Genomic DNA, 23,542 nt, shown 5'->3' with positions numbered 1-23,542 from the left:
TGGGATTACAGGCATGCGCCACCAGGCCTGGTTAATTTTGCATTTTTAGTAGAGACGAGGTTTCTCCATGTTGGTCAGGCTGGTCTCAAACTCCTGACCTCAGGTGATCCACCTGCCTCGGCCTCCCAAAGTGCTGGGATTACAGGCGTGAGCCACCATGCCCAACCAAGAACTCATAATGTTTTAAGACAATTTACGAATTTGTTTTGGGCCGCGTTCAAAGCCGTCCTGGGCTGCACGGGGCCCACAGGCTGTGGGTTGGACAAGCTTGCTGGACTGTCATGAAGTTTTGAGTAGGTTAATTGCGTGGAGAGACCTGGAAGACAGGATCCTGGGTTGTACTGTACTCTCCCCGCCATTGGACCTGTGCTCCCTCCACCCAGGTGGCATCGCAGTGGCCAATGGAGAACAGAGCCAGACTGCCTCGGTGCAAATCCCAGGCTCCTAGTCCTGTGGACCACTTACTCCTTCGGTGAACTTGGGAAGCTGTTCATCCTTCCGGCTTCAGTTTTCCCACATGTAAAATGAAGATAATAATGGCACCTACCTCAGAGGATCATTGTGAGGATTAAATGAATTACCACAATAAGAGGGTATCATTGCCAGAAAGGGGTCCCGATCCAGACCCCAAGAGAGGGTTTTTCGGATCTTGTACAAGAACTCTGGGCTAGTCCATGAAGTAAAGTGAAAGCGAGTTTGCTAGACAAGTAAAGAAACACGAGAATGGCTACTCTATAGGCAAAGCAACCCTGAGGGCTGCTGGTTGGCTATTTTTATGGTTATTTCTTGATCATATGCTAAACAAGGGGTGGGTTATTCATGAGCTTTTTGGGAAGGAGATGGAGATTTTCCCCCTCCCCCAGTTGAGGACTCCTCCTTCTTTTAGACCATATAGGATAATTTCCAGGTGTTGCCATGGCATTTGTAAACTGCCATGGTGCTGGTGGGAGTGTCTCTTAGCATGCTAATGTATAATTGGCATATACTGAGCAGTGAGGACAACCAGTGGTCACTTTCATTGCCATCTTGGTTTTGGTGGGTTTTGGCAGGCTTCCTTACTGCATCCTGCTTTATCAGCAGGGCCTTTGTGACCTGTGTCTTGTGCTGACCTCCTATCTCATCCTGTGACTAAGAATGCCTAACCTCCTGGGAATGCCACCTAGCAGGTCTCAGCCTCATTTTACCAGCCCCTATTCAAGATGGAGTCATTCTGGTTCGAATGCCTCTGCCATAGACACGTATTATATATGCATTACCATGCTTATGTTTTTTGCTTTCCCTGTCTGTAAAATGAGGAAATGCTATTAACTGTTATGTTGGTCACTCTGTACCAGAAAAGCCAGGAAGAGTGTCCACTGTGTGCCAGACCCTTGTAGGTGACGCTGTGAGGAGACGCAGAAGAACGGAAAGACCTGGCTCCTTCCTATGTACTCTGAGATCTCTATGAGGAGGCTTCCCCCTTCCCCTCTAGGAAGACTCCTCATAGAGATCTCAGAGTACATACGAAGGGGAAACATCCACACCCAGTTTTCCCTGGTGGAAAGGTGTGACACAGAGGCCTGCCAGAGGCTCATGGCCCCTTCTCCACCCAGAGCAGCATCTCAGCTCAACCTGGGGATCCAGTAAAGCGGTGCAGGGATCCTGCAGGCTCTGGCAAACTCAGCCTTGACCTTTGGATCCAGCTCTCTGTCCCCATGGCCAGTCTTTTCACTCCCAGGCCTTCTGTCTGGCACAGGGTGTGAAAGAGGAGCCGGGGGCAGGGCGGGGAGGATGCGGCAGGGACAGGGACAGGACAGGAAGGACTTGGCCTAGCTGATTGAGACTTTTTTTTTCTTTTTGAGACGGAGTCTCGCTCTATCGCTCAGGCTGGAGTGCAGTGGCCCAATTTCAGCTCACTGCAACCTCCACTTCCCGGGTTCTCCTGCCTCAGGCACGCAAGTAGCTGGGATTACAGGCATGCACCACTGTGCCCAGGGATTACAGGCATGCGCCACTGTGCCCAGCTCCAGTTGAGATTTTGGCAGGGGTCTCTTGAGCAGCTGATGGGCTCCTGTCACTGCGCCCAAAGTCTGTCCCAGGCGAGTCTGGTTCCACTTAAGCCCAGGTCTGGGCACAGAGGTGCCACCCTTAATGTGTGTGCAGTATGCTGCAGCTGTACCCACGAAGTCTGCCCCTGCCTCTCATGAACACCCAACCCATTCGAGGCTCCAATAATTAGAATTTTCCTTGCTTCACTTTATCCATCTAAATCCTATCGAACTTGTCAAGGGCTACGTCAGTCTCACCTCCTCCATGAAGCCTTCTCTGATTGCCCAGCTGACATCAGTCTTACTGTCCTAAGTTTCCTAGTTCTCTATTTCATTCATTTAGAAATTAGAAAGTAGAAATGTACTTAATTATATTCTCAAAAAATATTTGAGCACCTGTTTGATTGCAAGGCAGGGAGGGTGGCTGTTGGGGCATCCATGAAAATACAGGACAGAATCTTCTAACAAGAAGCTTCAATTCTAAAAGGATGATAAAAATTCTAAAGGCATGGCCTAGAAAATTCCTTATTGCCATATATTGCTTTTCAGGTTGGATGCTATGATTTAATTCAAAAATAATAGTTAACAGTTATTAGGTGCTTGCTATGGGCCATTACTGTATTTAGCACTTTACACAAATTATTCTATTGAATTTTTTTTTGAGATGGGGTCTGGCTCTGTCACCCAGGCCGGTGTTCAGTGGTACAATCATAGCTCACTGCAACCTCGAACTCCTAGGCTCAGACAACCTTTCCGTCTCAGCCTTTTGAGTAGCTGTAACTGCAGGCATGTCTTACCACACCTGCGTACTCTTTTAATTTTTGTAGAGACAGGATCTCACTATGCTGCCCGGGCTGGTCTTGAACTCCTGGGCTCAAGCAATCCTCCCGCCTCAACCTCTCAAAGTGCTGGGATTATAGGCGCAAGCTACAGCACCAAGCTAAGTTATTTTATTTAACTCTTAATAGTACCCCATTTGGTAGATACTATTATTATTATTATTCCTACTTTAGAGATAAGGAAACTAAGGTGCAGAAAGGTTGACTGCCTCGTGTCAGCTAGTGAGAAAGCCAGGATTTGAACCAGGCACCCTGACTCCATTGTTTATACCCTTAACTACAGTGCCATATTTCTTCTGTGTTTCACCTTTTATGTTCAGCTAGAGTGAAACTCTTTTAAGTCCTGGAGGGCCCTGTGGCACTTAGTGCATCAATGCCTTTGTAGGTAGCAGGCACTGGTAGGAGGCAGTCAGTATTCAGGGATGCCTTGATGATCAGGCCCTGCGGTAGAGAGAAGAAGAGAATGTCCAAAGTTTCTTAGTTCTGGGCAATAGAATTGGGAAAAGCAACCAGGAGTCCAGCGCCTAAATATTGCTGTATACTAACTCTTAGCTCCCACTACCTCCTCACTAACGCAGCTCTTTTTTCAGGCCTACACCAAGGTTCCCGTGAATGTAGCCAGCAGATATTAGGAGGGCTTCTTATGAATCCCTCATCACTGGGTGGACACAGGCCCATTAGGAACAGGCCCAGAGGCCTAGTGACTTCAGATTAATGCTTGCCAGGACCAGTGAGGTCAAAACATTACCCAGAACTGGGGCTTGATGTCCTGTCTCAAGGACAAACTCATCCCATCCTATCTGCCAAGTTATAGTGATTGTACTTCTGAGAACAGGGAACACTTCAGGCAAGAAAAATGTCAGTCCTCATTCAAAGGGAATGATTCTCCTAAATTTAATGAAACTCTTACAGCCTAATCCCTCACCGATCATGATATCTGTTTATTTCATATTCATTGATCATCTACTTGGTACAAGAAGCTGTGGCTTCCTACCCATAAAGGAGGTGATTCCAGTTTTAGACACACGTATCTACAAGATGAGTCATAGGATAATGATTATCCTATCAACCATTTATTAAAAATTGCTTATCCGTTCCCTCTATGCTAATAAGTGTTTTGATAGACTCTATCTCATTTAATCTTTAAAACAAATCTGGATATAATTATTCCACATGGTGGACCAAGCTCTGAGAAGGTACTTTATAGTAGACTCTGCCCCTAACAACTATATTGTCTTTCTGTACCGTCCATGAGAGGTCCAGACAGTGAGGACCATAGAGAACGGAGGCCAAGGTCCCTTTTGGCTTAGTTGACCAGAAGTAGCTTGCTGGAAAAGGCTCCTGTAGATGTTCCCTCTTCTAATACCCCTACCCAATGCTTTCTTTTTCTTCAACGTAGCCTCCAGAGAACTCCCAAATTAATTTTTCTAGGATACAGCTATGATCACCATGAACTCTACTCAAAAACCTTCAGTGATTCCCCTGAAATTCCCAAACTACTCTTCAGCCTGAAATGCAAGGTCTCGACTTCACCTTGGCTTTCTGACCTTCTCTCTGTCTACTCCCTCTCCCTATGTTCTTGCCAAATAGAACTATTTGCTAGTCTGCATGTAGGTCCACCTGCTGCTTCCAAGGCTCTTGGCATACCATTCCTACCACCTAGATGCCTTTTCCTCATCTTTGTCTCTCCAACTCTTACCCATCCTTCAGAGTCCAGCTTAAATATCACTTGCTAATGATAGTTACTAAGCTAGGGCAAATATATCTATATATCTATATATATATCTTTTTTTTTTTTTTTTTTGAGATGAAGTCTCTCTCTTGTTGCCCAGGCAGGAGTGCAGTGGCACGATCACTGCAACCTCCACCTCCCAGGTTCAAGCAATTCTCATTACTCAGCCTCCCAAGTAGCCGGGATTATAGGTGCTCACGACCATGCCAGGATGATATTTGTATTTTTAGTAAAGACGGGGTTTCACCATGTTGGCCAGGCTGGTCTCGAACTCCTTACCTCAGGTGATCCACCCACCTCGGCCTCCCAAAGTGCTGGGATTACAGGCGTGAGCCACCGCGCCCAGCCATCTTTTTTTTTTTTTTTGAGATGGAGTCTCACTCTGTCTCCCAGGTTGGAGTGCAGTGGCGCAATCTCGGCTCACTGCAACCTCCATCTCCTGGGTTCAAGCAATTCTCCTGCCTCAGCCTCCCAAGTTGCTGAGATTACAGGCACATGCCACCACGCCTGGCTAATTGTTTGTATTTTTAGTAGAGACAGGGTTTCACCATGTTGGCCAGGCTGGTCTTGAACTGCTGACCTCAGGTCATCTACCTCCTCTGCTTCCCAAAGTGCTGGGATTACAAGTGTGAGCCACTGTGCCCGGCCATATATATTTTTTATACCATGTGTTGTGGCTTATTTGTATGTCATTTCCTCTACTAGACGGCAAGCTCCTTGAAAGTGAATCCAGATCTCATTCATTCATACATTTTCCCGTATTCCAGTATCCTGGTATATCTTTGTATTTTTCTGTATCCCCATACACTAGTATCCTAACCCAGTTAGAGCTCCATAAATATCTATTGGATAAATTGATTTTTAAAATCAAAGAATAAAATACATAAGCAGAAGGATTGGCCTTCCCTGCCAATCTTCCTTTGAAGTGCTCATACCTTTACACATAGGTTTGGAGTCCTACAAAGCTCAGATAGGATTGAACCCAGTGGGGTAACATTGTAGAGAACAATGAGTCATTTGCATAGTAGGTTGTAGAGTAAGAGGATGGGACGTAGAGTTCAGGGTGAGGGTAGAGGAAGGGCTGTAATAGCAATGAATTTCATTCTTTGTTTTTTGTTTTTGTTTTTGTTTTTGTTTTTGAGACAGAGTCTCGCTCTGTCACCAAGGCTGGAATGCAGTGGTGTGATCACAGCTCACTGCAGCCTTGACCTCCTGAGCTCAAGCGATCCTCCTACCTCTGCCTTCTGAGCAGCTGGGACTACAGGCGTGTGCACAACCACACCTAGCTACTTTTAAAATTTTTTGTAGAGACAGGGTCTCACTGTGTTGCCCAGTCTGGTCTTGAACTCCTGGGCTCAAGCGATCCTTCTGCCTCAGCCTCCCAGAGTACTGGGATTGCAGGCATGAGCCACCATGCCCAGCCTCACTCTTTGAAATATTGCCCAACATCCTGGTATTTGAATTCACCTCCCTTGCCTGGTGCAAATTGTGGCACCTCAGCCAAACCTAGCAGCCTGGTCTGTCACTAATAAACCCCAGATCCCTTCCTAGCCTGTCGCCTCTCACTCATCCCAGGGTACATGCTGGTTGCAAACTAAGCCCAAGAGTGGATTTGGACGCAAGTTGGTAAATAACAACTAGGCTTTTAGATTCGGAGTTTGGATGATGAGAAAAGTGAAGTTTTGAGTGGGTGGGAAGAAACCTTCCCTGATTTTGGCTGGTACATTCAGAGACTCACAGCACTAACAGACAGGGCAGGCTGCCGGGGCAGGAACCCTGGGGAAAGGTGTGTCACACAGGGCCTGAGGTGAAGGGAGAGCTGCTCGGGTAGCAGTGGGGGAGGGGGACAGAGGCTGGGAGATCCTTCCTAGAGATGGGAGCAGCTTTCCACTTCAAGGACCACAGGTCTGCAGGCCCACAGCTCCTAGGACAGAAACTTACAAAACTGTCACTGTCAGGAGGGAGTGCTGGCTCTCAGATGGACTCTGTTCCTGAGCCCCTATCTTGCTTCCATTCACCTTGCACCAGCTGCCCAGAGAAGCTAGCCTTGAGCTGATGTCTACCTTTGCAATATTCCACCTGAGTGCATGCTGTCTTTTGCTGATCTGGTCTTCCAAAATCTAAGAAGCCTACAACAGCATTTTGGGATATGGGACATTTAGAGGTCTCATTACAAGTTCCATGGGACTTTTAGAAAAAGCTTAGATCTATGGACAACTAGGAGAAGGCAAATTTAAACTTGTTTGAAGCAACCCACACAAGAGCAGGTTTTCCTAACCTGGGCGGGGGTGTCCATAAATTCCCAAGGGGGTCCATGTGAACTCAGGAGGCGATGAACCTGCTGAAATTATGTGAAAAGTTATTCATGAAAAAAATTAAAATTAAAAAAAAAAGAAAAGCTATCCGTGTGTGACTGCATTTAGGGTGAGGTAGGGGGTCCATCACCTTTATCAGATTCTGAAAGGGTCTGTGACCCGAAAAGTTAAACAAAACAAAGCAACACATTTTTCTAGAGGATGAAGGTGGGAACTGGGTGTCAGGGGAATTTGGAGGACATTCTAACTCCTCCCACTTCCCATATGCTGCAAACGTGTGCAGTAGGAAACAATGACAAATACTAGGAAGTGGCAAGCATTTCTTAAAAAGGGCCTTTAAACAAATAGAGTCCTGAGCATTTCCCAGAGTTTCTTATAAAAGTTGTCTTCCTCTCTTTAGGTAGCCCCTTTCTTTCTTTCTTTCCTTTTTTTTTTTTTTTTTTTTTTTTTGAGACGGAGTCTCACTCTGTCACCCAGGCTGGAGTGCAGTGGCGTGATCTCAGCTCACAGCAAGCTCCGCTTCCCGGGTTCATGCCATTCTCCTGCTTCAGCCTCCTGAGTAGCTGGGACTACAGGCACCCACCACCGCACCCGGCTAATTTTTTGTATTTTTTAGTAGAGACGGGGTTTCACCGTGGTCTCGATCTCCTGACCTCATGATCCGCCCGCCTCGGCCTCCCAGAGTGCTGGGATTACAGGCATGAGCCACTGCGCCTGGCCTTTTTTTTTTTTTTTTTCCCGACACAGTCTTGCTCTGTCACCCAGGATGGAGTACAGTGGCGTGATCTCAGCTCACTGCAGCCTCCGCCTCCCAGGTTCAAGCAGTTCTCTACCTCAGCCTCCTGAGCAGCTGGGATTACAGGCACCTGCCACCATGCCTGGCTAATTTTAGTAGAGACAGTGTTTCGCCATCTTGGCCAGGCTGGTCACGAACTCCTGACCTTGTGATCCACCCACCTCGGCCTCCCAAAGTGCTGGGATTACAGGTGTGAGCCACAGTGCGTGGCCACACTATTCTTTCTCTCTCTTTTTTTTTTTTTTTCTGAGACGGAGTCTCACTCTGTCACCAGGCTGGAGTGCAGTGGCGCAATCTTGGCTCACTGCAACCTCTGCCTCCCGGGTTCAAGTGATTCTCCTGCCTCAGTCTCCTGAGTAGCTGGGACTACAGGCACACGCCACTATGCCCAGCTAATTTTTGTATTTTTAGTAGAGATGGGGTTTCACCATGTTGGCCAGGATGGTCTTGATCTCTTGATCTCCCATCTCCCGTCTCGGCCTCCCAAAGTGCTGGGATTACAGTTGTGAACCACTGTGCCCAGGCTCTCTCTCTTTTCTTTTCTGTTTTCTTTTTTTCTTTTCTTTTTCTTTTCTTTCTTTCTTTTTTTTTCTTTTTCTTTCTTTTCTTTTTGACAGGGTCTTACCCTGTCACCTAGGGTGGAGTGCAGTGGTGCAATCACAGCTCACTACAGCCTCAAACTCTCAGGATCAAGCAATTCTCCCATTTCAGCCTCCCAAGTAGCTGGGACTACAAGTGTGTGCCATCATGCCTGGCTAATTTTTTTTTTAAATTTTTTTATAGAGATGGCATCTCTCTATGTTGCCCAGGCTGGTCTTGAACTTCTGGGCTCAAGCAATCCTCCTGCCTCAGCCTCCTAAAGTGCTGGGATTACAGGTGTGAATCACCATGCCTGGTTGTACACTACTCTTTCTTACTTGTCTCTCCTTCTAGTTTGTCTTCACTGCCACAGGGGAACCTCTTCTAGTAGCTGCTATTTCTTCAAGAAGGACGTGAAGCTAGAGACTCAGGAGTGCTTGTTTGTTAGGTTGGAATTAGGAGCCACATCCAGGAGAGGCTGAGTAAGTCCTTCATCTCATCCAGTGGTAGCCAAACTTTTCAAGCCTGAGTACCTCTTTAAGACTTCAAAACCTTAGCTGGGAGCAGTGGTTCATGCCTGTAATCCCAGCACTCTGGGAGGCCGAGGTGGGTGGATCACCTGAGGTCAGGAGTTTAAGACCAGCCTGGCCAACATGGCAAAACCCCGTCTCTACTAAAAATACAAAAATTAGCCAGGCATTGTGGCGCACACCTGTAATCCCAGCTACTCCGGAGGCTGAGGCAGGAGAATTACTCCAACCCAGGAGGCAGAGGTTGCAGTGAGCCAAGATTGCGCCACTGCACTCCAGCCTGGGTGACAGAGTAAGACTCTGTCTCAAAAACAAACAAACAAACAAACAAACAAACTTCAAAACCACTTTTGGATCCTTCCAAGTAATCATAATTGTACTTTTAGTATCTACAAATGAAGAACTGCATGCTGAGAAAAAGCTACCATGCATTCAGTAATACTTTTTACATGTATCTTAAAAATTATAGCAGCACCTCTGTGCATTTGACAAACAGCACAGGCTTTATGTGTGAGACGCATCATCTATTTGTTCTCTAGGCAATGTTTGCTGTGCATCTGGATTCAGGGACCCCATACTGTCTGAGACCCTCTCCCCTTCCCGCAAAGCGGGGATCGCTGGTCTAATTTAAGCTGTTTATTTTATAGATGAAGAAACTGTGGTCTAGGAAAACAAAGCTCCTAGTGAAGTAGTTTGGGGCCCATTTCCATCCAGGTCTCTTGACTATGTCAAGAGATGCCCATGGCATGATGCCCACGAGCTATAGAATGGACACTCAGCTATGACATCCAGTTTCCCACTCCCATACTGCCTGTGCTCTCCCGTCACTAGGAGGTGTCCAAAGGGATGAAAGGACGCTTTAGGGCTTGCCTGATCTGGGAAACAGTCAGACAAGAGAGTGAACCATGAAACACCAGGCCCTGGCAACAAACTGGAGCACAAAGCCATGACACGGCTGCCATGGGCTGAGGATGCCAAGCTGGCAGCTGAGCCCTCCCTCACTTAGTCCTCACTATAACCCTGACCATTAAGGAATATTATCTTCACTTTATAGATGAGGAAACTGAAGCTTAGAGAGGTCAATGACAATGTCACACAGTTACTAAAAGCTGCAGAGATAGGACTCAAAGCCAAGTCTAAATCCAGACCCTGAAATGGTAGTCACTATGCAATACTACTTTATGTAAGGCTGCTGGGCTCAGGATACTTGGGGCTTCTTCAGGACAAAGTTACTTTGCTACCCCTTTTCCCAAGGAATCATTCTAAACCCAGCCACAGCTTACCAAGAATGTGTAAGCCCCTCTCTTCCGGGAGACTATCTGCAGCACCAAGCATCTTGGCCACATCCTGCAAGGGCCCAGGAGGACTCCGCAGGCAATATGCCACCCTTGGAGGACACAGCGTTCTTTACATTCTAATTCTAGCTCACAGCCTGTGTACAAAGGAGGTTAGAAAGGGTGAGTTCCTATGCTCATTCCCACCTCTCTCCTCAGTTCACACACTGACTGCAGGGTGTGGGGCTGTGTAAAGATCGCCCCACTCCATGAAGCTCTTCAGAACTAGAGGAGCCCACACTGATTTTTCTCATTCCTTCTAAAGCATGTTCTCTTTGGCCATTAACATAGCTTCTGCCTTTTCTCTTTTTTGAATCACATATGAGAATCTTATATTGCCAGCAAGCACCTTGTAAGCAGGGGCCAAGTCCTAAACATACTCTCCATCCCCTACCCCAAGTGCCCAGCTTGGGGCTGCACACACCATCAACTCCTGATAAATACTTGCTGGACTCCATCCAATGGTCCTGACAATAAACTGCCCCCCTCCTGGACCATTCCTTCTAGCCACTGCTCTCCTCAAAAGAAATTGCGGGCACCTCACTCCCCAACTATTTCTCCACAAGGCACGTGACCTTTAGAAGTTCTGGGATTTAGTTTTGCTGCCCCTGTCAGAAAGAAGCCTGACCTTTCTGATAATCTGTTGTTTGTGGGGACCCATGGAGAATACACGAGACCAGTTTTTCTGCACCTGAACAGGGCTCTCTGAGAGCTCTGAGAGGCCATTGGAGGCCTTGGCTCTAAACCATCTGAGTCTAGAGCCAAAGCCAGAGATGGAGGGAGTCGGGTGTTTGCTCTTCTCCACTCTTGCCACCTTCTCAAGGGCTCCCGGTAACCAAGTGTGTTTGCCTTTTGCTACCCTGGGAGGCCAAGAGCCTCCTTTTCCCTGCAGATGGAGACAGAACTTCTGCGATAAGAGGCAATTCGGCTCCTGATCCAAAACTGCAGTCTCCTTGGAGCCCGAGGCTCTGGTGCCATGACTGAGAGGGCCCTGGGCCACAGTGCTGTCAGACTGACCTTCACTGGGTCAACCCAGATCACTAACCAAAGCCTGCTGGTAGGTTATATGCCTCTCTGAGCCTCAGTTTCTTCCTCTGTAAAATAGACAGATCAGGCACAACTGATTACTAAAGCCCTTCCTGTGGTAAGTTTCCATAGTCCTAAAACGCCTCTGGGCCCTGAGTCCTAAAATGCTGTTCTGGGGTTCCAGAGTGGCATACTGCCTTCTCAACACTCCCCCCTCACCCCCACCTCATTACCAACTCCTCACCCCCACCTTATTACCAACTCCTCACCCCCACCTCATTACCAACTCCTCACCCCCACCTCATTACCAACTCCTCACCCCCACCTCATTACCAACTCCTCACCCCCACCTCCTCATTACCAACTCCTCACCCCCACCTCCTCATTACCAACTCTCCACGGGACTTTTAACCACATACTGCAGCCGCACTTTGGCATTGTCCAGCAAGGAGCTCCTACGGGTTCAGATGGTCCTATTGACAGAACAGGGTTGCTGCCACCTAGCACCCTAGAAAACTTCCGAAGGAGAGAGAGGAGGCTTTTATGCAGTCTGACATTAAATCCGTAAATCAGAATCCCCCCTTATCCCTTTCAGACCACCAGAGTACGTTATTCACTGAATAATGTTAAAAACAGCAATAATATCTGAAAATTTTACCTGGGCACCAAGTGCCCAGAGAAAGAGGCACCTGGTGTTGGATGGACTTGAGTGTCAGGGCCCTGGGGTGAGCAAGGGCTTGGAGAACAAGTGACTTCAGACTGACCTGTGAGGGAGAGGCCCCTTCTTAGGAGGCAGGGCCCTGACCTCGCTGCCCAACAGAAGTTGCCCAATCTCTGTGGCTAAACAAAGAGAGCTGAGATGAGGAAACCAGAACGTCCTGGGGAGTGAGCGCAGAGCACAGAAAACACGGCGACGCCAGCGGGGCTGCAGCTGGGAGTGCTCAGCCAGCCGGCCTTCTGTGTAGGAAAGCCCTGGGGGAGCTCAGGGACCTGTGAGAAGAAGCACAGCAGCCTGAGCCTTTTATCCCCAGGAGCTTCAGAGCTGCACAGGCATCCTCTAATGTCAAGGCCAGAAAGAAAGGGGATGTGAACTGCTGCGCTTCAGCCAGGACACTTGCCTCATCAGCTGTTGTGGAGGCAGGTCTGGAGGCAGAAGGAATGCTTGGGCCACGGATATGCAGGGGCAGGATTAGAAGGAAGGATTCTCAGCACGCGGCCAGGGCTTTAGGGAAGGCTTCGTGAGGGGAGGACGTGCTCTGACTGCTGTGGGCTCTTCCCCCAGTGTCTTTCCTCTGTTGTCCTCTTAGCGCATCCCAGGCTTTACTACAACAACTTCGCTTAGATTAGGGACCTAGGGCAAGAACAGGGGGTGAACACACTTTTTTGTTTTTGAGATGGAGTCTTGCTTTGTCGCCCAGGCTGGAGTGCAATGGAGTGATCAGCTCACTGCAACCTCCGCCTCCCAGGTTCCAGCGATTCTCCTGCCTCAGCCTCCCGAGTAGCAGGGATTACAGGTGTGCGCCACCACGTCTGGCTAATTTTTGTATTTTTAGTAGAGACGGGGTTTCACCATGTTGGCCAGGCTGGTCTTGAACTCTTGACCTCAGGTGATCCGCCAACCTTGGCCTCCCAAAGTGCTGGGATTACAGGCATGAGCCACTGCGCCCGGCTGAGCACACTTTTTTTAAAGAACTGGAGGCAATGCTAGCTTTCCAAGTGCCTGAGATGCCAAGGTAAGCTTTTAGCGTCTTTTGATCCTTCATTGGTTCAACTAGGGATTCTTGTCTCCACACTTAGGTCACATCAGATGCTATTGTGTAGAAAGGTGTCTCATTTTGGATAAATCTTAAAGGTACAAGAGAGGAGAACACTAGCAGTTTCCTGACACCACTCAGAAGTCTTGCTTCTAATTTATAAGTTGGTAGCTAGGCCCATTTTGTAGTCAAGAAGTCCCTTTTCTTGGCATCGTGGCCTCTTTCCTATTTGGAGGGGGAATGGGGTGGGTTTCCTGCAACCTGCAGCACTGTCACCGTCATTACCCTGGGACCAGAGCAGTCCCACTCTTCACTGTAATGAAGCTCACGCACAGATGATCGTCTAGATTCCATCTCCAAACATTTTGTTCTGCCACCACCCAACGACCCAGTCTTATGTTCTCCCAAGACCAAACCCCTGGACCTACACACAGTCCTCTCTCTCAGGCAGTCTAGAATATTCAGCAGAATGCAAGAAGTCATGAGGTATAAACCATGGTGGGATTAGTAACTTACAGGACACAACCTGGTTACTCAGTGCAGCTTGACACAGTTTATCCCAATGGTAAGGTCATTACCATGGCCTTTGCTTCCTTCTTTCCTCCTCCAGCCTCTGTTCTTGGAGAAGTCCAAGTCAGCTCCTGGAGTTTTCCTGACTATAGGACTTTGCTTCAAAATCTAGTCCAGGCAACCCGTTGAAATGGCAATGCAGTCCTGGTTTTTTTATACTCAGAAGTTTCCTTGAACCAGTCCTTTACCTTCCTGAGAACTTCCTTTACCGCAACAAATTCTTATCAGCTTTCTCTAACTACTATACCTCTGGCCCATTACAAGTACTGCTTTCTGCAGCCCCTCACCCTAGCTAAAACCCCCTGGAATGATATTCTAGCTCTCCGAGAGTGTGCCTCACTTTTCCTTTCAGCCCTTTCCTCTCAGACACTTCCTACATCAACACAACTGCTCTGCCAATTGTAGGATTTTCCCTTGCTTGTCAGATGACCCTGAAAAGGGCATGTGAAGTCGTGTGAGGCACATTTCCTGTGCTTGGGATGCATGCAGCCCACAGGATGACAGTCCCACACATAGCCCTCTAATAGCCCATGGTACGTGCTGTACTAGTGGAGTGAAGCAAATGCTTTGGGAGAACTGAGAAAGAGGGATAAATTTAGCCGATAGGAGCTGAGGAAGGCTTCCCAAGGGCTGTGGCAGTGGAGCTGGGCTTTGAAGGGTGAGCAGAGTTTCTTTTTTTTTAAGATGGAGTTTCGCTCTTGTCGCCCGGGGCTAGAGTGCAATGGTGTGATCTCGGCTCACTGCAACCTCCGGCTCCCAGGTTCAAGCAATTCTCCTGCCTCAGCCTCCCAAGTAGTTGGGATTACAGGCATGCGCCACTACGCCCGGCTAATTTTTTATTTTTGGTAGAGACGGGATTTCTCTGTGTTGGTCAGGCTGGTCTTGAACTCCTGACCTCAGGTGATCCACCTGCCTCGGCCTCCCAAAGTGCTGGGATTACAGGCATGAGCCAGAGTTTCTTAGTAGAGAAAAGAACGAGAAGGAGATCTAGCCTTTGGAAAAGCTGTCAGTCATTTAAAAAAATCATGCTCCTCTTGGTAAATATAAGGTGTTCTCATTTAGCACCCTGATTGCTGAGATTTGGATGTAGCTTCCTAATGGGGCGTGCATATCTCCTTTGAGAGTCACTCATTTATCAGAGCTGAAAGATGACTGTAGGTTATTATTTCTATAATCCATAATGAAATCAGAGAGTCCTCCCCTACCTTACACATTCACACAAACCGCTCTCCCGACTCTTCAGAGAGACCATGGGAGTGCAGAATCCTCCTGTGGCTGGTGTCAGGGACGTGGGCTTGTGCGCTAAATGGAAGCAGTTAAGACCTCAAGCCTGCATCTTTTGAGCTCGGGACCACAGCCTCCATGAGCCAGCAGCTTCCTTGTCTTTGCATAACTGCTATTTGTTTTTCATAGAGCGCTGACAATGCACGCTGCCCGACGTGTGAAGACATGGTCTTGCCCCTAGGCCTCTGGGAACCTGAGCTAGACAGACACTCAGCTCTGGGTGCAAACACAGCTCAAAAAACAGGCAGGCCGAGCCCTGAGGTGTCAAGCCTTTGTTCCCTTCTTTGGAGGAAAAAAAAATGAGCTAACTAAGTGACTTCTCTGGATAAGAGGGAAGCAGGAATCCTCTTAGAGCACAGGTACTAAAGAACGTCTAGGCATGGAGGAGGAAGACATGTAGAGAGGCAAGTAGGGAATGCAAGGGGAAGAAGACAGAGGGAGGGAGCCAGGCCCGGCAGGACTGTGAGGGAAGAGTGCCATCTGCTGAGCCCCCCGTGGGCACACAGGCACACCGCCACCCCCACCCCACCATGTCCCCTGGGCATGAAGCTCACGCACAGATGATCATCTAGATTCCATCTCCAAACATTTTGTTCTGCCACCACCCAACGACCCAGACTTATGTTCTCCCAAGACCAAGTCCCTGGACCTACACACAGTCCTCTCCCTCATGCAGTCTAGAATATTCAGCCGAATGCAAGAAGTCATGAGGTATAAACCACAGTGGGATTAGTAACTTCCCAATACCCATGGACCCAAACCAAGCTGAGCAGGTGCCTGTGGAGAAGGCTGGAAAGTCAAGGCAGCAACCATCGCTAAGGATGGTCTTCTTTAGGAGGCAGTAGGACATCGTGTAAGAGACTGTTCTTACTAGCCACGTGCTATGGACAAGCTGCTTGGCCTTTCTCCACCCCACATGCCTGTGGCTTCTGGAAGGGCTTAAATGAATAGCACCTGGAAAGAAAATGCCAGTGTGGGGCCTGGCACATGGTGGAGGTACCATCATTGCTCCTTCCAGAGAAGAAAGGCCATTTTTAATTAATTAATTAATTTATTTATTTAATTTATTATTATTATTTTTTGAGACAAAGTCTCACTCTGTCACCCGGGCTGGAGTGCAGTGGCGCGATCTCGGCTCACTGCAAGCTCCATCTCCTGGGTTCACGCCATTCTCCTGCCTCAGCCTCCTGAGTAGCTGGGACTACAGGCGCCCGCCACCACGCCCGGCTAATTTTTTGAATTTTTAGTAGAGACGGGGTTTCACCGTATTAGCCAGGATGGTCTTGATCTCCTGACCTCGTGATCTGCCCGCCTCAGCCTCCCAAAGTGCTGGGATTACAGGCGTGAGCCACCGCGCCCGGCCTATTTATTTATTTTTGAGACAGAGTCTCGTTCTGTCTCCTAGTCTGGAGTGTAATGTCGCAATCTTGGCTCACTGCAACCTCTGCCTCCTAAGTTCAAGCAATTCTCCTGCCTCAGCCTCCCAAGTAGCTGGGATTACAGGTGCCTGCCACTATGCCCAGCTAATTTTTTGTACTTTTAGTAGAGATGGGGTTTCACCATATTGGCTAGGCTAGTCTTGAACTCCTGACCTCAGGTGATCCACCTGCCTCAGCCTACAAAAGTGCTGGGATTATAGGCATGAGCCACCGCCCCCAGCCCATTTATTATTTAAAATGCGTGATGAGATTTAGAATTATAGAGAAAGACCCAGAAAAAGGAGAAAAGGATACATTTTCATTTTTCTTAGGAGCCGCAGATATGCTTGATTTGACATAGCTGTCACAGGGATTTTGCTCATTAGCATGGGGAAACTATTCCTAGTGTGTCAGAGCACCCCCAGATTGGGCCAGCCAGGGATGGCAGGGGAGGAGGAGTGAACCTGGGAGTGCTGGGCTGGGGTCCAGTTGAAACTCTGCCACTGAATTGCACGCTTTGGACATGTCACTAAGCCTTTCTGGTCACACCTTGCCTGATGCCTTTTGTCCCTTTCACCCTGATTCTGTGATTCCATGAGGCCTGTTTAGCATCCCTTGGAAGACCCATGGATTGATTCACCAATCAGCCGATCAGGCGATCAATCTGTCTATCTACCTAGTTCACCTCAGGACCTTCTATGATTGCAGTGACGGAGAGGACCCGGTGTGCCAAGGGTGTGCTGCAGACACATGGGTCCTCTGGTTTTGAGGATACACAGATCTTTACAAGGATCAGAAGAGACTCAGGCACTTTGGGTTACGGGTGACAGAAAGGAACCTAAAGCATCTGAGACCAAAAGAGGGAGTTTATCATAAAGTGTCAGGATCTCTCCCAAGAACCACACAACAGGGAGATCAGGGAGGTCATCCAAGTGCCTGGGCCAGAACCTCGAGCCCTACCAACCCAGACAGCTCCTTCCCTCTGCTTTTCTGGGGCTGCCTGGCCTCTCATTTTTGCTTCTCCTGGTGCATCTTGGTTCATGTAGTCCGTGGAGGTTGAATAGCAACAGTGAATCTCAGTTCCAGATTAATGGAAGGGAAAATCTGATTGGCCCTGCTTGGACAGGACTCCCGCCCCTACTCTACCCAGCCTGAGCCAGATATTCCTGGACCGGATATAATGTCACCAGGCTACCTCCTAGGTGTGTGGAATTGGGGGTTTCTCAGAGAACGGGAGGTTGCGACTGCCCCGACACCCCACAGAGTGTTGTGTTAGGATGCAGGTTTCACTGACGCAAGACGCCAAATAATAACAGCTTAGACCAAAATGGAAGTTTATTTCTCGCCTGTGTGTAATAGTCTGCGTGCAGACAGTCCAGGGATAATACAGTAGCTCCACGGTGTTTGGGACCCAAGCTCCTTCTAGCTTGTTGCTCTGCTCCTGGGATATGTACCTTATACACATGATTGAAGATGCTCACCACAATCTCCACATTCCAGCCTGGGAAAAAGGGAGGGAGGGGATAGAGAAGACAGGTGCCTTCCTTTTAGGGCCACAATTCTTCTTGCTAAGTTCTCATTAGCCAGACCTTGGTCATACAGCCCTGCTGCTGCAAGACGGATTGGGAAATGCTGACTTTAGCTAAGTGGTCATGCATCCCGTCAAATATTCTACTATCCTGCAAGAAGGTCAAATAGATATTGGGGGGCAACCTCCTACAACAAGTAATAATGGCCTCGCTTCCTGGAAACTCATGGAAGTTTTTCTCTCTTCTGACTTCTAGCAGGTTATTTATTGCCAAGAAAGAGGTATGGTGGGTATGGGAAGAATATCTACAGGGAAATGCTTCCAAAGGTGTAACCAGGAGGAGTTTAGACTAAATGATTTCTAAAATCCTTTCTTACTTTTATGCCACTTCAAGAAAGCCCTGGGAGCCGGGCACAGTGGCTCATGCCTATAATCCCAACTTTGGGAGGCTGAGGCAGGCAGATCACTTGAGGTCAGGAGTTCGAGACCAGCCTGGCCAACATGGTGAAACCCTGTCTCTACTAAAAATACAAAAATTAGCTGGGTGTGGTGGTGTGCCCTTGCAATCTGAGCTATGCAGGAGGCTGAAGCAGGAGAATTGCGTAAACCCAGGAGGTGGTGGTTGTAATGAGCCAAGATCGTGCCACTGCACTCCAGCCTGGGTGACAGAGCAAGACAAAAAGAAAGAAGGAAGAAAGAAAGAAGAAAAGAAAGAAAGAGAGAGAGAGAGAAAGAAAGGAAGGAAGGAAGAGAAAGAAAGAGAGAGAGAAAGAAAGAAAGAAAGAGAGAGAGAGAAAGAAAGAAAGAAAGAAAAAGAAAGAAAGAAAGAGGGAAAGAAAAAGAAAGAAAAGGAGGAAAGAAAAGAAGGAAAGAAAGAAAGGCAGGCAGGCCTGGGGTTGATGTGCCTCTTCCTCTATCGTAACTTAGGGCACAGAAAAGGAAGTTCTTGGGACAGATTGCAGAACTGAATTTGGTAACACAGAGTTCTTTAAAGAATAGATGTCCAGCCTAGGTGCCGTGGCTTATGCCTGTAATCCCAGCATTTTGGGAGGTTGAGGCAAGTGGATCACCTGAGGTCAGGAGTTTGAGACCAGCCTGGCCAACATGGTGAAACCCCGTCTCTACTAAAAAGACAAAAAATTAGCCAGGTATGGTGGTGGGTGCCTGTAATCCCAGCTACTTGGGAGGCTGAGGCAGGAGAATCACTGGAACCTGGAGGGCAGAGGTTGCAGTGAGCCGAGATTGCACCATTGCACTCCAGCCTGGGCAACAAGAGCGAAACTCCGTCTCAAAAAAAAAAAAAAAAAAAAAGAATAGATTTCCAGTGCTGTGGTTGTCCTTGTCATAGCCCAGTTCTGCTAAACAAGGTTGAGTTGAAGTTGTCTCCTTCAGACTCTAGAGCCACATATTAAGTCCCTGCCTGGTAACCCCCTCCTGTGGCTGGGCTGAACAGAGTCGCTCAGAGCAGCTAACCCACCAGTGAAGCTGTGGTGGGCATCTGCTGCATGCAGGGCCCTGGGCTGGCCGCTGTGGGGACCCACGGGGGCAGAAGGCTGTGCTCGCTGACCCTTTTCCTCTCAGCCACCAGGCTGACCTCATTTTCCGTTGAGACTTCCTGTTCTCCAGTAATTGCTTGGTGGGGCAAGAGGCTTCAGTTCCAAGTCAGCAAATGGGATCTGAGTCATGATGTATATGGTAAGTGTGCCTCTGGCCACGGGATCTTCACCAGCTCAGCACTGGGTGCTGGGCACTGGGGACTGGGCAGGTGAAGAGGGCTGCCAGAGGGGCTGTTTCACTCACGCAAAAGCATTGATTCTGTGTCTGCTGGGTGTCTGGCAATGTGTGTGTGCATGTGCACTTGTCAGGATGGGGAAGGCAGGAGGATGGAAATGACTCTGCAAAGTTAGAGCTCAAAATGGACTTTGTAGCTTTTGGCCCCAGTGATGCCAGATGAATTAGGCTAGTAGGACAGCTGGGAGTGGAAAGAGGCCCAGACTCAGAATCGACTTGGATCATGCTCTAGCTACAACAAAAATGTGTGACCTTCCATGGTCAAACATTATTTCTCTCCTTCGTCTTTTTTTTTTTTTTTTTTTAAGACAGGGTCTTGCCACTCTGTCGCCCAGGCTGGAGTGCAGTGGTGCCATCATGACTCACTGCAGCCTAGACCTCCTAGGCTCAAACAATCCTCCTGCCTGAGCCTCCTCAGTAGCTGGGACAAGTCCCCTATTGCTGCTGTTGTTGTTTTCCCTATTTTTTTTTTTTTTTTTGAGGCAGAGTCTCACTCTGTTGCCCAGGCTGGAGTGCAGTGGTGCAATCTCAGCTCACTGCAAGCTCCGCCTCCCGGGTTCACGCCATTCTCCTGCCTCACCCTCCTGAGTAGCTGGGACTACAGGCGCCCGCCACCACGCCCGGCTAATTTTTTTTGTATTTTTAGTAGAGACGGGGTTTCACCATGTTAACCAGGATGGTCTCGATCTCCTGACCTCGTGATCCACCCGCCTCAGCCTCCCAAAGTGCTGGGATTACAGGCGTGAGCCACCGCGCCCGGTGTTTCCCCTATTGTTTTAAATAAAAGGATGATAATGCCTTGCTCAGCTCACAAGGACTACAAAATGGAAAAGAGAATTGGGCTGTGAGCCTTGCGAAGGCCCGCTCTGCATTTTACTCATCTTTGCGGCCCCTTCAGCACCTAGCGTGGCGCCGTGCGTGTGCGTTCAGCACCTAGCGCGTGGCGCCGTGCGTGTGCGTTCAGCACCTAGCGCGTGGCGCCGTGCGTGCGTACAGCCCCTAGCGTGGCGCCGTGCGTGCGCGTTCAGCCCCTAGCGCGTGGCGCCGTGCGTGTGCGTTCAGCACCTAGCGCGTGGCGCCGTGCGTGCGCGTACAGCCCCTAGCGTGGCGCCGTGCGTGCGCGTTCAGCACCTAGCGCGTGGCGCCGTGCGTGCGTTCAGCCCCTAGCGTGGCGCCGTGCGTGTGCGTTCAGCCCCTAGCGCGTGGCGCCGTGCGTGCGTACAGCCCCTAGCGTGGCGCCGTGTATGTGCATGAATTCTTCTGTGAGCGAGTGTTGCCTAGATTGAATTAAACAACAACAACCCAGAAAGCACCTGGTCCACTTTCCACATTAGAAAACAGAGACCCAGAGAGGGACAGTGACTTGCCTCAGGTCACACAGGCTAGCTGGGAAGATTAAACATGGACCTGATACGTGCTCTGCATTCAGTCAGCATCAGTGTCCTTCTTTTCCAGGTGGCAGCATCAGGACGTAGAATCCAGATCTTTTCCTCTGACACCTCAGCTCTTGCACCTCACCACATTGCTGAGTTATTCATATTTAGCTGAAGCCAGCTAGCTAGTGAGGGCTGAGATGGGATTAGCTAGCAGGAGGACTGTGGCTGACCCTTGCCCACCAGGCTGTCCCTGTGTCACGGCTTGGGTACAGCGGCTAAAGGGCAGGAGCTCTGGAGCCAGATTGCCTGGGTTTGACTCCCAGTTCTGCCATTTGCTAGTTGTGTAATCTCATTTAATGTCTCATTTATGTCTCAGCTTTCTCATCTGTAAAATGAGGACTGCAATTGTATTTGACCTCATGAAGTTGCTGTGAGAAGTAGATGAATTAAAATATGTACTTAGAAAAGTGCCAGGCCGGTAATAAGCACATTATTAAGTGTTCGCTATTATTCAAGGGTAACATTAGGCTTTTATTGCTGTAGTGGTGGCTGCAGAGTTGATTACTATGGTCAGCCTTCACAAGGACGGCCGTTGGATGATGGTAGAGTTTGTTGTTGCTGAATAGGATAAGATTCCTAAAGATAGTCTAAAGGACTGGGGACTCTAGCATATAAATTCTTGGAGGGCTGGTGTGCTTGGTAAAGACTCTTAAGGGTTGAGTACAGTGCCACGTAATTGGTGGACAATTCGAAAACAATGACCGCTAGCTCCTAGGGAAGATCCAGACCTTGGATACTCATCCTCCATCCATCCACAGCACACCGAGGGCCCAGATGGAACACCAGCTCCTACAAGCGCACATTTCCTTTTAAGCCCCAGCTTCCATCAAATTGGCTTGCACTGGAAAGTCAACGGAACCCCCAGCACAAAGACGGTGGCTGATGGCCAAAGGACTGGAGCCAGGAAAACTATGTGACAGGCAACTTTGCTCCTGCCAAGAATGAGGACGTGATTTCCTATCTCCACCCCGCAGCAGGCCCCCAGCCTCCTCTCATCCCCATTCCCCTTCCACCCCCAGTCCTGTGGGCCACAGGTTTCTGCCTGAAAAAGCAATTTGGAGCTGCTCACACAGGATATCTCCTCCTGACCTACTTCCTGAGTGCTGGGGCAGAATGCTTGCTCTACTGAGAAAGGTGGCATTAGCTCAGCATTCCCCCAGCCAAGCATCATACCGGATCTGACTGTCAATCACTCACTCACAGCCAATGGCCACACCTGAGAAGGGTTTTCTTAATGGCTTTCCTATGTCAACACCTGGGCTGAGTAACCCAACAGGCTCCTGGAGTAGAGCTGAACCTGTTTCTTGGGATATTGCGCTTTCTGTCTTTTTGGTTGTGTGCTTGCTTTTGTAATTTGGTGCAAAGCCACCATTTGCCATGGTCCCAGGAACTCTTTCTGAGATTGTAATTCCGAAGTATTTCTACTCCAGTCGTCATCATCATCATCATCATCATCATCATCCCTTACAGAGTACCTACTATGTAGTCAAATATTTTACCTATTATCCCTAATATGCTCGCCACCCTACCTTGCAAGGTGGATATATCAGGACAGTGCTTCTCAGACTCTGATGTGGCTGTAAGTCACCTGGGAATCCTGCTAAAATGCAGATTCTGGTTGAGTAGATCTGGGGGAGGCCTGAGGTTCTGCATTTCCAGCAAGCTCCCAGGTTCTAATACCTTGAGTAGCAATATATCAGGAGAAATTTTTTGGTTGCAAGTGACTGAAATGCAATGTGAACTAGTTAAATAAGAAGTGGAATTTATTACAAGGGTATCTGGTGTCTCACAAAGCCAAAGGACAGGATTGCAGCCGGGCCTCCGGAAGAGTTGGGGCCGGGGATTCAAATGCCAGGAGGAACCTCTTGGTCTCCTGACTGCTTTCTCCATGCACCCAGTTCAAAGCGTCGTCCTCTCTCCCTCCCTTCTTTTGCTCCACTCTTTCTTCCTTTCCCCTCTGTTCTGCTTAGTGCCAAAGCAACTCGGCCCACAGTCCTGTGGGTTCCTTGTCTTCTTCCTTGATTTTGGTGGCGCACACCTTCCAGTAACTCCCTAAGAAAGTGAGCAAAGGAAGGACAATTTTTGTGGACTAACTTACCTAAACCGTCTTCCCGCAATTGCTAGTGGGTTGAGTATAGAATTGTAGCTTCTAGTGTGGCTGCTGTGACATCGAGTGCCATTTCACTCCTCTGTCCTCTGGAGCTCATGTCTGGAAGTTGTTAGATTCCTTCTGACCTCCAGTTCCAAAAGCTGACAATGATGTGGCTTGGGGTGAGTTGTTCCTCATTCATTATATAGGGCACTTGGTAAGTCCTTTTGACCCCAAAATTGATGTTTTCTGCTCTAGAAAAAACATCTGAATTGTTTATTTAATAATTTTTGCCTTTCTCTTTTCTTTGTTCAGCCCATCTTGAACTCTCAGTGTTAGGATGTTGGATCTTCTGATGTGATCCTTTAGTTTTGTCTTTTGTATCTAATTTTTTATCTCTATCATCTTTTTGTTCTACTTTCTATGAGATTTTATAAACGTTTCTCTATCTTAAGTTGAATTTTTAATTTTTATATTTTTAATTTCATATTTTT

At 48.4% G+C, this 23,542-nt stretch overlaps 1 protein-coding gene across 5 annotated transcripts in view, besides 5 other annotated features; it reads left to right on the top strand.

The window, feature by feature from the left end:
- Window positions 1–23,542, top strand: part of NINJ2 (ninjurin 2) — a 99,150-nt gene that overhangs the window by 33,673 nt on the left and 41,935 nt on the right. The window contains exon 1 of one of the 5 annotated variants that reach the window (NM_001294345.2): window positions 19,357–19,427. The exons of the other annotated variants lie outside the window; for them this stretch is intronic. Within the exon in view, the coding sequence (NP_001281274.1) occupies window positions 19,416–19,427 (12 nt within the window). The 5' untranslated portion in view covers window positions 19,357–19,415. Of the gene's footprint in view, window positions 1–19,356; window positions 19,428–23,542 lie in introns of those variants that run through there. 5 annotated transcript variants of the gene reach the window in all.
- Window positions 5,316–6,059: an enhancer, noted in NCBI's record as "NANOG-H3K27ac-H3K4me1 hESC enhancer chr12:732880-733623 (GRCh37/hg19 assembly coordinates)". NCBI's record gives its function as "activates a minimal SCP1, AML or CMV promoter by ChIP-STARR-seq in naive H9 embryonic stem cells {active_cell/tissue: H9 hESC(naive)}" and the evidence as "EXISTENCE:reporter gene assay evidence [ECO:0000049][PMID:30033119]".
- Window positions 6,060–6,804: an enhancer, noted in NCBI's record as "H3K27ac-H3K4me1 hESC enhancer chr12:732135-732879 (GRCh37/hg19 assembly coordinates)". NCBI's record gives its function as "activates a minimal SCP1, AML or CMV promoter by ChIP-STARR-seq in naive and primed H9 embryonic stem cells {active_cell/tissue: H9 hESC(naive and primed)}" and the evidence as "EXISTENCE:reporter gene assay evidence [ECO:0000049][PMID:30033119]".
- Window positions 19,341–19,842: an enhancer, noted in NCBI's record as "H3K4me1 hESC enhancer chr12:719097-719598 (GRCh37/hg19 assembly coordinates)". NCBI's record gives its function as "activates a minimal SCP1, AML or CMV promoter by ChIP-STARR-seq in naive H9 embryonic stem cells {active_cell/tissue: H9 hESC(naive)}" and the evidence as "EXISTENCE:reporter gene assay evidence [ECO:0000049][PMID:30033119]".
- Window positions 20,096–20,612: an enhancer, noted in NCBI's record as "H3K27ac-H3K4me1 hESC enhancer chr12:718327-718843 (GRCh37/hg19 assembly coordinates)". NCBI's record gives its function as "activates a minimal SCP1, AML or CMV promoter by ChIP-STARR-seq in naive H9 embryonic stem cells {active_cell/tissue: H9 hESC(naive)}" and the evidence as "EXISTENCE:reporter gene assay evidence [ECO:0000049][PMID:30033119]".
- Window positions 20,613–21,130: an enhancer, noted in NCBI's record as "H3K27ac-H3K4me1 hESC enhancer chr12:717809-718326 (GRCh37/hg19 assembly coordinates)". NCBI's record gives its function as "activates a minimal SCP1, AML or CMV promoter by ChIP-STARR-seq in naive H9 embryonic stem cells {active_cell/tissue: H9 hESC(naive)}" and the evidence as "EXISTENCE:reporter gene assay evidence [ECO:0000049][PMID:30033119]".

This window comes from Homo sapiens, chromosome 12 (genome assembly GCF_000001405.40).
Source record: "Homo sapiens chromosome 12, GRCh38.p14 Primary Assembly".
Lineage (NCBI taxonomy): Eukaryota > Metazoa > Chordata > Mammalia > Primates > Hominidae > Homo > Homo sapiens.
The sequence above is the reverse complement of the archived record's forward strand: the minus strand, read 5'-3'. Positions and strand labels throughout refer to the sequence as shown.